The 14,099-nt window shown below is 45.3% G+C and overlaps 1 protein-coding gene across 11 annotated transcripts in view; it reads right to left on the bottom strand.

The window, feature by feature from the left end:
• MRRF (mitochondrial ribosome recycling factor) overlaps positions 5,133-14,099 on the bottom strand; it is a 66,456-nt gene continuing 57,489 nt past the window's right edge. For all 11 annotated transcript variants that reach the window (NR_144421.2, XM_011519183.3, NM_001346339.2 and 8 more), the window contains one exon: positions 5,133-13,930. Coding sequence is in view for 9 of the 11 variants with exons in the window: in XM_011519183.3 (XP_011517485.1) it covers positions 13,853-13,930 (78 nt within the window). In the remaining 2 variants the exon portion in view is untranslated. The remainder of the gene's footprint in view (positions 13,931-14,099) is intronic.

Genomic DNA, 14,099 nt, shown 5'->3' with positions numbered 1-14,099 from the left:
TGCTCAACAAGTATCTACCAAGATGCTTAAATATTTGTTGAATGGCTACATCAGTTTCACTAGGAAGCCACATGTATTTATTTGTGCATTCAGCAAATACTTGTTGAGTGTACAGTGTGTGTCAGGCTTCATCCTGGGGACTGAGCGTGCAGTGTGAATGAGACAGTTCTTGCCTTCTCAGAGCTCACAGTTGGGGCAGGAGACAGATGCGAAAGTCGTTACATATAATCAGATGGGATAGTGCGGTGCTGGGGGCAGACCAGAGGCTCTCAGAGCTGCTAAACCCAATCTGGGGAGGTCAGGGAAGGCTGCCCGGAGGGAGTGACATTGGGTTGAGAGCTAACGGACATATAGAAGTTAGCAAGGCCAGTAGGGCCTGGAATGTCCCAGGCAGAGGGAACACCACGTGCAAAGTCCCTGAAGTGACAGCCACCGGTGGGGAGCTGAGAGACGCCAGAGCAAGGAGAGGCTGGGGTGAGATGGGGTCAGAGAGATGGTCAAGCCTTGCAGTTAAGACCTTGGGTTAAGAATTTTGGATTTTTTCCTGGAGGTCATAGGGAGCCTCTGAAGGCTAGTGGCCTGATTTGCGTTTGAAGAATTTACCCTCTGGAGAAAACGGATCAGAGGGCCAGGCATGAAGAACAGAGAGACTGGTTAGGAGGCTATTCAGTCATCCAGGTAAGGGGGAGCCACTGAATGTTTTTGAGCAGGATGTTATAGCAAAGGCTGTGTTTTTGTTGTTGTTGTTATTGTTTGTTTTGTTTTTTGAGACAGAGTTTTCGCTTGTTGCCAGGCTGGAGTGCAATGACACAATCTCAGCTCACCGCTACCTCTGCCTCCCGGGTTCAAGTGATTCTCCTGCCTCAGCCTCCTGAGTAGCTGGGATTACAGGCATGGGCCACCAGGTGCAGCTAATTTTGTATTTTTAGAAGAGATGGGGTTTCTCCATGTTGGTCAGGCCGGTCTCAAACTCCTGACCTCGGGTGATCGGCCCGCCTCGGCCTCCCAAAGTGCTGGGATTACAGACATGAGCCACCGCGCCCTACCTAGGCTGTGTTTTAAGGTTATTAATCTGACGGCAAGAGATAGAGGAGAGGAAGGGAAGTGAGGTAGAAGCCAGAAATCAGCCTGGCAGTCCATTCATTCATTCATTCATTTGTGTATTCCTCATTCAACAGACATCTCTGTGTGAAAGCTGCCCTTCTCCACATTGTAATTTATAGTTTCCAATCTGCTCTGGGTTTTGATACCAAGTTACCTATTATTAACACAGGTTCTAAAGCTGTAGTCAGTCAGTTCTGAGACTCCAACGGACTCTGTGGATCATGAGGCTGCTTATTTTGGCATGGACTTTCTGACATCAAAGTGTTCTTGTGAGTCATTTGCCCTGTTTAGGCCTTAAATTCCTCATCACTACAAAGAGGGCGCCAAACTAGATTATCTCTAAGACCCTTCTCTGCTCCCCAAACCCTGCAATTTTTTGCCCCATGAAGGCTTAAAGACATCTCAAACCCCGGCAGCTTAAAAATCCCAAAGTGCGGTCTGACCTGCAGTCTGTTAGACTCCACTGGGCAGCCAAAGGAGCAGGGAGGAAATCAGGAAATCTGGGTTCAAGTCCCAGCTCTGCTATTCACTGACTGTGTCGTCAGTGGATGAGTTCTTCCCCTCTCTGTGCTTCAGTATCCCACTTGTAAAACATGGAGCTGTCTAGAAGTGGGAAGAGCTATAGCAGACCCAAGACACATCCACCTCCTAACAGGTCAGATGGGAGTCCCAGTTCCAACACTCACTGCATCTGTGACTTTAGCAAGGCACTTAGCCTTTCTGAGCCCGTTTGCTAAAAATCTAAGCCCAAAGGGCTGTTGTGGGAATGAAGTTAGATAATGTGGCTTAGGGGCCAAGCATCGCGTAAATGCTCCATGAGTAGTGGCTGCCTGGATGGGTGGGCTGGGACTGATGTCCTTTCTCCTTCCTTCTCTACAATGGCTCCATTTTAACCAGCAACTGGGATTCACTGGGGGCTGGAGAATTAGTTTTTTTTTTTTTTTGGAGATGGAGTCTCACTCTGTCAATCAGGGTGCAGTGCACTGGCGTGATCCCGGCTCACTGCAACCTCCGCCTCCCGGGTTCAAGCGACTCTCCTGCCTCAGTCTCCTGAGTAGCTGGGATTACAGGCACCCACTACCATGCCCATATTTTACATCCATCCATGGAAACCCCACTCTTCAGCAGGTAAGTAAACGCAGTACATCTATATGGTGCAGTGGTCAGCTGGGGCCATGTTTCAACAAGAATAGGGCCCTCAACACATGATGGGCAGTGGAAGAAGCAAGCAGAGTCCTATTACAGCATGATGCTATTTATACAAACTGGAATTACACAGACACAAAGCAATTCCTTTAAAAATGATGCCTAAAATGTTTAAAAGGGCAGGAGGAATTTAGAGGGATTTCTATTTTTAGTAGAGATGGGGTTTTGCCATGTTGGCCAGGCTGGTCTCAAACTCTTGACCTCAGATGATCCGCCCGCCTCTGGCTCCCAAAGTGCTGGGATTACAGGTGTGAGCCACTGTGCCTGGCCAACAATGGCTCCATTTTAACCAGCAGCTGGGATTCGCTGGGGGGTGCTGGAATTTGGGTCTATTTTTTAATCTGTAGCTTTGGGTGGAAGGGGTTATAATGCATCTCTAGCCCACTAGGATGGGTTGGGGAACGCTGCTAGCTAGAGGCCTTGTTAGCAATGTGGCCACAACCAACCAGCTAACAAGCAACAAAGCGATTCCTTGGCCACAGCAAACAAGACTTCCTCCTTCCTCCCTGAACATTTTTGAATAGCAGCTCCCCACTAGAGGTAGATCCTCATTCTAGAAGCCGTGCTTTGAATTTCAGGAGCTCCACCCTCCCACCTCCCCACATCGTAGTGGATTGTGGGTGTTGGAACCGAGAAATGGTCAGCACCTTCCTGGTTTGCCTCCTGCAGTAACAGGGTGGAAGACCTAGGCTCAGTCTCAGATACCTCTGTACTGGAAGTCCCTGCCCTTGAGGGCCTCCCATTCAATGGGGAAGACAGTCCATGAACATCACAAGGGGAACCGCGAGGGGGAAAGTGCTTAAGAGCCCTGAGAGTTTGGTACAAGGGGAAAAGGGAGACCGTGTCTGATTGGTGGATGCATTCCTGGAAGACTTCCTGCAGTCGGAGGTATTTGGGGTGGGTGTGGAGGATAGCTAGAATCTCTCTCTCTCTCTGGAAAAAAAAAAATTAAAAGTACAGGGGAAATAAAAACAGAAAACGAGGTTAACAACCACACCTATTTTCACAGCTCCAAATTAACATTATGTCAAGTTTTCATGTACATATCCATACACACACACACACACACACACACACACACACACGATGACTTCAGGGTATACTTTAAATCTTCCCCCCACTCCCCAGTGTCAATCACCGTTAGGAATTTAGCCAGTATCCCTCACAATCCCCCCTGCCCTTTTAAAACATTTTATAATGCAAAGTAGGCATCGTTTTTAAAGGAATTGCTTTGTGTCTGTGTAATTCCAGTTCGTATAAATAGCATCATGCTGTAATAGGACTCTGCTTGCTTCTTCCACTGCCCATCATGTGTTGAGGGCCCTATTCTTGTTGAAACATATGGCCCTGGCTGACCACTGCACCGTATGGATGTATCACGTTTACTTACCCTCTGAAGGGTGGGGTTTCCATGGATGGATGTAATAAGGGGAAGACATTCCAGGTAGAGAATGTGGCAGAAGCAAATGCATAGGGATAGAAAAGCAGGGGTCCAGGGCGGAGGGAGCACCGGGCATATTTGGAGGAGCAGGGGAGGTGCAGTTGGCACACTGGACATCTGGGTTGTGGGGGAAAAGGCCCCCCACTCAGAGCCACCACAAGTCCTCAATAATTCCACTTAACCACTTTCCAAGTCCTCCTCAGGGAGGCCTATGTTACTCTTTCCATTAATTGTCTCATTAATGACCCACTGAAGTCAAGTACCCATTGTTCTCTGGGCCTGGGGCAGCCTCCCTGGCTTTGCCCCTATGGGGATTTGTAAACGTCTTTCCTTCCCCTGCTTTCCTTTGGCAGGCATCCTTATCTAGTCCCTGCAGCCCCGGCAGGGCTGATGCGACACTTCCTCTACCCACGCCCTGTGCCAGAACCTGGGGCTGCCCAAAGCCACCAGGCCTGGCTCACCCTCCCTCTCCCCTACATCTCCAGCTGCCTCACTCCGTCTCCACCTATATGTGTGTCTGTCTTCTCCTCTCTGCTCCCCTCCCTTCTTTCTTTTTGTTTTTGTTTTAAGGAGCAAAAAGTTTAACAGGCAAGAAAGAAGGAAGAAGAAAACAGCTCCCCTGCATAGAGACGGAGGGAGGGGTGGGATTCGAACAAGTAGAAAACCCCCTCCCCTCCCTTCTTTCTAAACTGTTTCTTTTCCTGGTTTCTGTTGCCTTCTCTGTGTGTACTTCTCTGTCCTCCTCTGTGTCTGTCTCTATCTCAGTCTCTGTCTTAGTGGGTATCTCTTTTGGAGTATCTCTACAGATGATACTGTCTCTGACTCTCACTGTCCCTGTCTGTTTTCTGTCTCTGGGACTGTCTCCATCTCTCTTCCTGGGTGTCTCTCTGTGTCTTTGTCTCCATGTGCTGATCTCTGTGTTTGTATGTGTGCATGCGTGTGTGTTCCTATTTTTGTCTCTGATTCTGCCTCTATCTCCCTCCCTCTGTCCCTGTATCTCCCGTCTCTGTCTCTCTCCTCTCTCTGACTCACCTCCCCCAACCTGTCCCTCCTCCCTTGTGGGTCTCTCAACCCTTCTGATTGACTATTGTCCTGTTTCCAACCCCTGCCTCACTGCCACTGCTCACTCACCCAGGAGTCCCCGACACCCACACAGGTCAAACCACCTCCCTCCCTTGCTTCTCTCCCTAGTTACAGCTCCAGCTTCCCTTGGATGACAGCCTCGGGGACATCAGAACTAGGAGTAGGCGTGAGGTCCCATAGCTCCGAGACTTTGGGATTCATACATCTGTGAAGTTAAAAAACAGAATGAAAGGAACCCACAGAATGTGACCAATTATTTTTTCTAAATAAGGATTTCTAAAGAATCACCAACTTATCATTTTATAATAGAAAGGATATTTTAATGCCAAAAACAAAAGAGAAAGCTCTAAGAATAGGTAATAGTCCGTTAATTTAAATTAACACTTTTATAAAAACATTTGCTACATTACTTTTATTTTACTTATTTTGCCCCCGATGGGTGAAGATGTTAGGGATCAGCACAGGTTCTCTGGCCTCATTGGAAACCAGAGAACTTGCCCAAGCCTTTCCCACAGAGAAGTGGAGAGACCTTTTTTTGAGGGAAGAAAGGGCAAAACTGCGACAGGACCCAGAAGCTCTCACTGGCTACTTAGCACCTCACAAGTCCCTTTCCAGCCCCACTGGTCTCTTAGTGAAAATAATGTATGAGGCTGCCTAGTTGCGGGTCAGACAACAGACTCCCTGATGCCAAGTGTTCCTCTGTGTGGAGACAGAGTCTCGCTCTGTTGCCCATGCTGCAGTGCAGTGGTGCAATCTTGGCTCACTGCAACCTCTGCCTCCTGGGTTCAAGTGATTCTCCTGCTTCAGCCTCCGAAGTAGCTGGGATTACAGGCGCCCGCCACCACACCTGGCTAAATTTTTTATTTTTAGTAGAGATGGGGTTTCACCACGTTGGCCAGGCTGGTCCCGAACTCCTGACCTCAAGTGACTCGCCCACCTCAGCCACCCAAAGTGCTGAGATTCCAGGCATGAGCTACTGCACTAGGCCCTCTGTGTGTCTCTGGACATGTAACTTAACCACTGTCTGTGCTTCCTTCCTCACTTGTAGAATGAACAAAATAACAGCTAGCTCCTTGAGTTGCCTAAAATCTAGTAAAACTTGTTAGCCACTATTATTATCAGGAAGAGGAGGCCTGGGGAGTAGTGTCTTGGAAGAAGGGAGCTATTTGGATCAAGGCCTGAGCCAGGAAAGGAAGAGAATAGCAGGGACTTTTGCCCTGCCCTCCCCTAGGCAAGCTGTGAGCCTCGGTCAGGGGCAGCTAGCTCGCGGAGGAGCTGCTGTCTTTGGAGATTTAGGGGCTCTAGAGCCTAGCGAGGCTGCTTTGGAACTCAGGGATGCACGGCAAATGTGGGATGTGGGCAGAGACCTTCTCCCTTCCTCTTCAGGGCTTCCACCCAGCATGCTCAGACCCCCTCAGCCCAGCAACCAGCACTTTTGTCACAGACACTAACACTCCCAGTAGTGGAGGTAAATCTCCCTTAAGTGTCACTTGTGGCTGCAGATGCTAGCAAAGGGAAGCGCCGGTGGGAGGGGAGTACAGTAGATGCCAGTGGCCTTGGATGCCATGCGGTCCCTTAAGATGTCTAGAAACGCCTGAGGCCGACTTAGCAGATGAGGTTGAAGGTCCTGGGCAGGCAGGTGAGGATAATTAGAGAAACTCTGGGTTATTCATGTAAATGTGACGCCATTTGTATCAAGGCCTGGCAGGCCCCTTAGAATTAGACAAACATTTCCTCAACACCTGCTCTCGCCACATACTGTGCTAGTCAGAGAATGCACAGACTAAGACAGCAGGGGACTTTCTTGCCAGGAATTCACACAAGGCTTATCTAGGGTTAGCCATGTTCTGCCTCTGAGCCAAGTGTCTAGAGACCCGGGTGAGGCCAGCCTGGAACATTTGCCACATCTGTTCCCTGGTGAGCACCACTCAAGGGTGTGCCCAGGAAGGAAAGGAAAGGTCTGTTGAAGGGAGAATTGACAGGACTTGGTGACTTATTGGATGAGGGGAGAGGGACAGGGAGGCAAAAGTGGCTCCCAGTGTCCTGGCTTGGCACCTGGGTGGATGGTGAGGCTTTTCCTGAGAGAGGAAACGCAGGTGGGTAGCTGAACGTCAGATGCTTGAGGCAAATCCAAGCGCTTAATAGGCATAGGCAGGTTTAGGGATCAGGAGAGGCATCGGTATGGATAATGAATGAATGAATCAGGAGAAGCATCGGGATGGATAATGAATGAATGAGTTAGTGTAAGGAAGAACATGGGACCAAGAAGGGCTTATAAGACTAGGTAAGTTTTGCCTGCTGGTGGGGAAGTGGTTTAAGGGAGCATACACTAGGCAAAGAAAATAGCCTAAGAAAAGGCTTGAAGGTGAGAGAAAGCAGCACAAAATTATTAGCTTTCAGAAAAGCTAATAATTCCGTTTCGCTTAAGCACTGGTGGTATCAGGGTAGTTGTAAGAGATGCATCACAATTAAAGGAATACATCAGGCCCAGATTGCAGAAGTTACTGAATGCCAGGGTGAAGAGTTTACATAATTCAGCAGGCAACAGGGAACCAATGAAGGTTTCTGAGAGAAGAGTGACATGATAAAAGCTGTTTCAGGTTGTTCTAACTTAACAGCGTAGGATGGACTGAAACACAGACCAGAAGAAAGGAATGTAAGAGAAAGGGATCTTCGGGCACAGCTGTGCATATCTGCAGTTCCAGGATCACTTGAACCCAGGAGTTCAAGTCCAGCCTGGGCAACATAGGGAGACCCCTCATCTCTTATTAAAAAAAAAAGAGAGAGAGAGAGAGACAAAGAGGCAGACAGAGATAATCACTTATTTGTTTATTCCACAAAAACTGAACTTCGTCTATGTGAAGCAACCCTCTTCCTCATTCTAATCTCTAATCCTTTATCTGCTTAGGGCTAAAACACCAAATCACTTATGTTAATACTGAAAATAAAGAAAAAGTAAATGGGTTCTACTAAACATATCACTATTATAAATAAATGTAAATGAATTTAAGTGTCTGTTAAAAGGAGCTTTATATATACTTATTCATATATACAACAGATTACTCAGCCTTAGAAAGGAAATTCTGATACATGCTACAATATGGATATACTTTAAGGACATCATGCTTCAGTGAAATAAACTAGTCACAAAAAGACAAATCCTGTATGATTCCACTTAACATGATGTTCCTAATCAAATTTATAAATTCATAAATGGTGGTTGCTGGGGGCTGAGAAGGGGGAACTGGGGTTGTGTAATGGGTATAGAGCGTCAGTTCTGCATGGTAAAGAGTTCTGGAGGATGGTTGTACAACAATGTAAATGTACTAAATGCTACTGAACTGTACACTTAAAATGGTTAAGGCTGGGCACAGAAGCTCAAGCCTGTAATCCCAGCACTTTGGGAGGCCAAGGTAGGAGAATCACCTGAGCTCAGGAGTTTGAGATCAGCCTGGGCAACATAGCCAAGACCTTGTCTCTACAAATAATTTTAAAAGTTAGCCAGGTGTGGCGGTGCACGTGGCTGTAATCCCAGCTACTCAGGAGGCTGAGGTGGGAGGATTGCTTCAGCCCAGGTTGTCAAGGCTACAGTGAGCTGAGATCATGCCACTGAAATCCAGCCTGAGTGACAGAGCAAGACCCTGTCTAAAAAAAAAACATGGTTAAGAGAGTAAATTTTATGTATATTTTACAATTAAAAATAAAAATAAGAAAAAAGGAGTTTCAGAATGGTTCATCGAACAAAACCCAATTCCAAAAAAAAAAAGAAACACCTAAAATAGTGATTCTGAAAGCTTAAAAATCAAGAAATGGGGAAAGCAAATGTAAACAAAAAGCAAGCAAGAGCTGTAATCCTGATATACAACAAGATAAAATTCAGACTAAGAGCACTGAATGAAATAAAGAAGATGTAAGCGTCTGGAGCGCTATGTATAAAACAACACAGCAGTACTTTCACAAAGCAGAATCCATTTTCATAAAGCAGAAAATGCAAGAAGGAACAGAAATGTTAATAGCAGGGGTCTGAAACACACCACTTTCAGTCCAAGACTCATCAAAGGGTCAAAAAATAATGGAAAACCTAAACAACATACTCTATAAGCTACATTTCCTGCATACATATCAAAATTTGTACCCCCAAAATAGGGAACATATCATTTCAAATGCACATCATGAAAAATGACCGTCTATTAGGGCAAAAGAAAGCCTCAAAGTGGCTTTTGAGGATACAAGCTTTTATGATCACTCTTTGTCTAACCGCAAAGTTTCACTGAGTGGTTTCAATGCAACAAAGAATGTAGAAGCAGTTTGAAAACTAAAAAGCACCAAGCAAATATTAGTTACTGATCTGTCAATACTGTTATTGTTGTTATTATTATCATTATTCACTGCTTGGTGAACATTTTGCTTGCTCTCTGACATATTCTAGAGAAGTTGGCCAAACAGGTGGGGGATTAATATGTAATCTTTACTGTCTCCATAAGAGCTACCATTTCTTTGGTGTTTACAATGTGCCAGGTACTATGCTATTTTACTTGCAGTCATTAATTAGGAACAGCTTGCTATGTGTTTTATGAAAGCAAGACTTCTGCTTCTCTCACATCACCGTCCAGGTCCAGAACAGCGCGAGGTCCCTTTTGAGTAAGTGTTCAGCGAAGACTTGGGAACCAAAGCACACTGATTAAGGACCTACTTCAAGGTCAGATGTGGGTTTGAAATTTCATTCTAGCACTTACTACCTGTGTGACCTTGGGCAAGTTAAATATCCTTTCTGAACCTGTTTTTTTCACAGAAAAACACAGATAATCATAACACCTACATTAACAAGGATTCATCAGAAGTTTCAATGTGGGAACACGTGTAAAGGGTCTAGCATGGAACCTGGCCGACTGTAGGCATTCAATAAATGTTAGCCTGAGGTTGAAGGAGAAAGAGCAGACCTTATCAGATAATCTTAGAATAGGGGCCTTTCTTTTTTCTTAAAAAAAAAAATCATCTTTAAACATTCTCCAATGCATGTGAAATAATTTTTAAATAGTGTCATGGGCTAATAGTGAATTAAGTTATGGTAGACCCATATTATGGAATACTGTATCACAATGAAATAATAAATTGTATCTATTATGTACACACATGGACAGATGACCATGATTGTTACAGGGTAAGAAAAAAAAGCAAACATCAGAATATGAATAGTTCCCCTCTCTCCTTCTAAAAAATTATATGGCCGGGCGCAGTGGTTCATGCCTGTAATCCCAGCAATTTGGGAGGCTGAGACAGGTGGATCACCTGAGTCAGGAGTTCAAGACCAGCCTGGCCAACATGGTGAAACCCCATCTCTACTAAAAAAAAATAAAAAATTAGCTGGGTGTGGTGGCGGGCGCCTGTAATCCCAGCTACTCAGGAGGCTGAAGCAGGGAAAACTGCTTGAACCAGGGAGGCAGAGGTTGCAGTGAGCCGAGATTGCGCCAATGCACTCCAGCGTGGGCGACAGAGCAAGACTCCATTGCAAAAAAAAAAAAAAAAAAATTATATATGGCCAGGCAGAGTGGCTCACACTTGTAATCCCAGCGCTTTGGGAGGCTGAGGCAGAAGGACCGCTTGAGGCCAGGTGTTTGAGACCAGCCTAGGAAACAAAGCAAAAAAAAAAAAGCCAGGTGTGGTGGTGCATAGCTGCAGTCCCAGCTACTCAGGAGGCTGAGGTGGGAGAATTGCATGAGCCAAAGAGTTCAAGGCTGCAGTGAGCTATGATTGTGCCACTGCATGATGGGCGACAGAGTGAGACACTGTCTCAAAGGCAAAACAAAATGAAACGAACACACACACACACACACACATATATGCACAGAGAAAGGAGGTCTGGAAAGATATATACCTAATTTTAAAGGAGTAGGGCCTGGTGAGATTTTTTTTTTAACTTTCTGCATTCCAACTTATTTTGTAATTTCCAACACACACACACACACACACACACACACACACACACACACACACACACACACACCAGACAGGAAAAAAATTCTCAAATTCTCTCTGGCCTGAATATTTCATAGGACTTTGAAAGTCATTAAACTGAATAGAAGAGGTGGTTAATTCTTCTGGCAAGTGTGAGAATTTCCATACCCAGTGTTTCTTTTTGAGAGAGGCTGTAGGAGAGAAGAGATGGAGAATGAATTGCTCCAGCATTACTCATTCTCAGCACATCCAAACAGGTAGTCTCATTCTTGTCCCTGTCACCACTACAGCCCTGACACAGAGTCACAGAGAAACTCTTTGATAAATGTCAACTGAAATTGAGTAATCATCTGAAAGCCATTTGCTGAGCTGTCTGACTGCCCTGGGCTCGAGGTTTTCCTTTATTCATTTATCATGATACAGCTTTGGCCAACATACACACAGGAGAGAAATTGTTGACATGTGGAACCCAAGTACAGAAAATCTTTCATTTTCCTCCCTGTCTGTTCACCAAATAAGTTTTTGTTTATTTAAAGACTACAGAGGATTTGGCTGTTAAGAACCAAATGCCTTTGGAGTGGAATTACAACATAATTTATCATTTCCTCTGTTTATTAAAAAATCCTGCATCTTTGAGAAGCACATTTGCAGTGAGTGGGGGATTTCGGCCACTCATGAAAGACTGTTGCAAAGCCCCTGTCATGTGGCTTACCCCAAAAGAGGCTCCTTAATTGCTCTATCTATCCCTGCTCTTCCCCCAGCTGACTTCTGATCATGTGATGACCACTTAGGGCTGGTGGATGGGGTTAGAGGACAGGTAAGTGGGGCAGGAGACTGTGTTAGTTTAACTTTGACCCAATTTTGACCTTGAATCCTCACTGCATGTTTCACCAGTGTAAGTAAAGAGGGAAGTGCAACCCTTATTACCTCCAGCACAGGAGAGAATCTGGAGGAAGTCAAAGAGCAAAGAGAAGTTGGATGTTGCTTTGAAAGAACTCAGCCAGGCCTTGCCACCACCAAAGTGGGCTCCATTCTGAAAGCAGACACCTTGCAGAACTGGAATGAACTTCCTACTTTTCCACCCAATAGATTATTATAGACAGCAATTTAGTTCAGTGCACTATGTACCCCCCCAAAACAGGGGTCATATCTTTCCCATTTTTGTATTGCCAGTACATAGTTCAGCACCTGACAAACAATTGGTGCTCACTAAATGCTAATGAAGGCAGCAGGACACAGTGGTTCCTTCCAGATTGGTGAGGTGCTGAGAGAGTGTGAGCCCAGAGAAGGCATGGAAGCTCCACACCCTCTCCCTCTCCCTCAACCTTGCCCTGTGTACCTCCTTCATTGGGCTGTTCAGCTGTATCTTTTATAATAAACCAGTGAACGTGTTTCCCTGAGTTGTGTGAGCTGTCCTAGGAAATTAACTGAACCAAAGGAAATCAAGGACTCTAGTTTGTAGTTGGTCAGTCAGGAGTATGGGTGGCCCAGACTCATGACTGGCATCAAAAGTGTTGGCAGTCTTGGGAGATGGAGCCCTCAACCTGTGGGATCTGACACTATTTCCAGGTAATGTCAGAAATGAATTGAATTATAGGATACCCAGTTGGTGTCTGCTGGAGAATTGCTTGGTGTGTGGGGGAAACAAACTCACACACCTTGTCACAGAAGTGTTCCATGTTGAGTGTGAAAGTACAAAAGGAAAAAAAGTTTGTTTTTTTCCTTTTACATTAGCACATCAGGCCTCAATTTGAATGCCAGCTCTGCTACTTGCTAGGTGTGTAACCCTGCACAAGAAACTTCACCTCTATGTAAATGACGCTGACAATGAATCATGAAAACCTTCTACCACTGATCAGCTTTGCTTTGTTACTTTGGGCAAATTACCTAATACTGTCAAGACTTAGTTTTCCTATTTGTAAATGAAGATAATACACATCTCTTAAGTTTACTGTCAAGATTATAAATAATGCCTAGAACTATACCTAACTCATAATGGCTATATTAGGAATGAATGAATGAATAAAAAATAATTGGAGGGAAAAAAACCTAATAACCCAGTATCCGAAGATAAGCCACAATAAACTACTTGTCTGTCAACAATGGGCAGGCCCTGCAGGAAAGGTATGTCACTACCAAGTAAATGTTGAGAACAAGTACAAGAGTGGAAAATGATAGAAAGGGAGTGTTAAGACTAGAAAGAAAAGAAGTCAGCATTTGCTGGGTAGCTACTATGTGCAATTTATTCACGATACAACATATGACTGCCTACTATGCTCCAGGCATTACACAAAGTTCTGAGGATATACAGGCTAATTAAGTGCAACAAGAATACTTAGAATTCGTACAAAGCAGTAGACTGTGCTATGAGAGCCGGTAATGAGGGTCCTAGGTTAGAGGGGAAAAGAAGACTTCCCAGAGGACGTGATATCCAAGACAAGGCCTGATGATAAACAGGACTGGCCAGGTAAGGAGGGGAAGAGAGAGCCAGGCAGAGAAAACAGCATGTGTGAAGACGACTCACAGGCAAAACTACTGTTATGGGTGCCTCACATACAGATCCTCAGTGATCATCAATCCAGACCAACTCTATTCTTTCCTTTGTGGTTGTTATTCCTTCCAATTTATTTAGATTTTATTGTTTAGTGAAAATGGGCCTCTAGTAAAGTGTCCAGTCACAGGTGAAGGCCAATATCAGAGTTTTAAAATGGGAACAGAGCCTAATTATTTGAAAAGGAGACTCCTAAGATGAGGAGCAGGTGGTACTAAGCCTGCCAATGGCCTCAGTCCCTTGGCAACATCAAGTCAAAGCAAATGCCTGAGTACAGGCCTTTTGCCAGCAGCAAGTATTTTCTGAGAGCCACCCACCGGCCCAGAGCAGAAGCAGGAAGAGAATGAACATGTCTGAGTGTTCCCCTGGAAGGCTGGGCCTTACAAGGACAGGCTTCTGTCAGCATGGTGACAGTCTTCTGTGTAGATGGGGGAGGGAGAGAAGTCCCAATGTGCCACCCATGGGATCCAGCAGAAACTGGGCTCTGGAGTATTGCTGGCCCCAGTGGACTTTCATCCAAGGAGTTCTTTGGTCTTCACTGCCAGATGCCTGTCCAGTTCTGCCACTGTGTCATCGGCCATTTGGCTGATCTGCAAGAACACAAAATGAGACAGCCTGATTAATGGGGCTGGAAAAGGGTAGGGGGATGAATATTCCAGAAACATGAAAAGGTTATGTGAGAAATAATAATAGTGACAAAAGTTCACATTAAGTACCAGTCAGGCACTGTACTAAGAACTTTATATATACATTCTTTTT

This window comes from Homo sapiens, chromosome 9 (genome assembly GCF_000001405.40).
Source record: "Homo sapiens chromosome 9, GRCh38.p14 Primary Assembly".
In the NCBI taxonomy this organism is placed as follows: Eukaryota; Metazoa; Chordata; class Mammalia; order Primates; family Hominidae; genus Homo; species Homo sapiens.
Note: the sequence above shows the minus strand (reverse complement) of the source record. Positions and strands in the feature narration are given on the sequence as shown.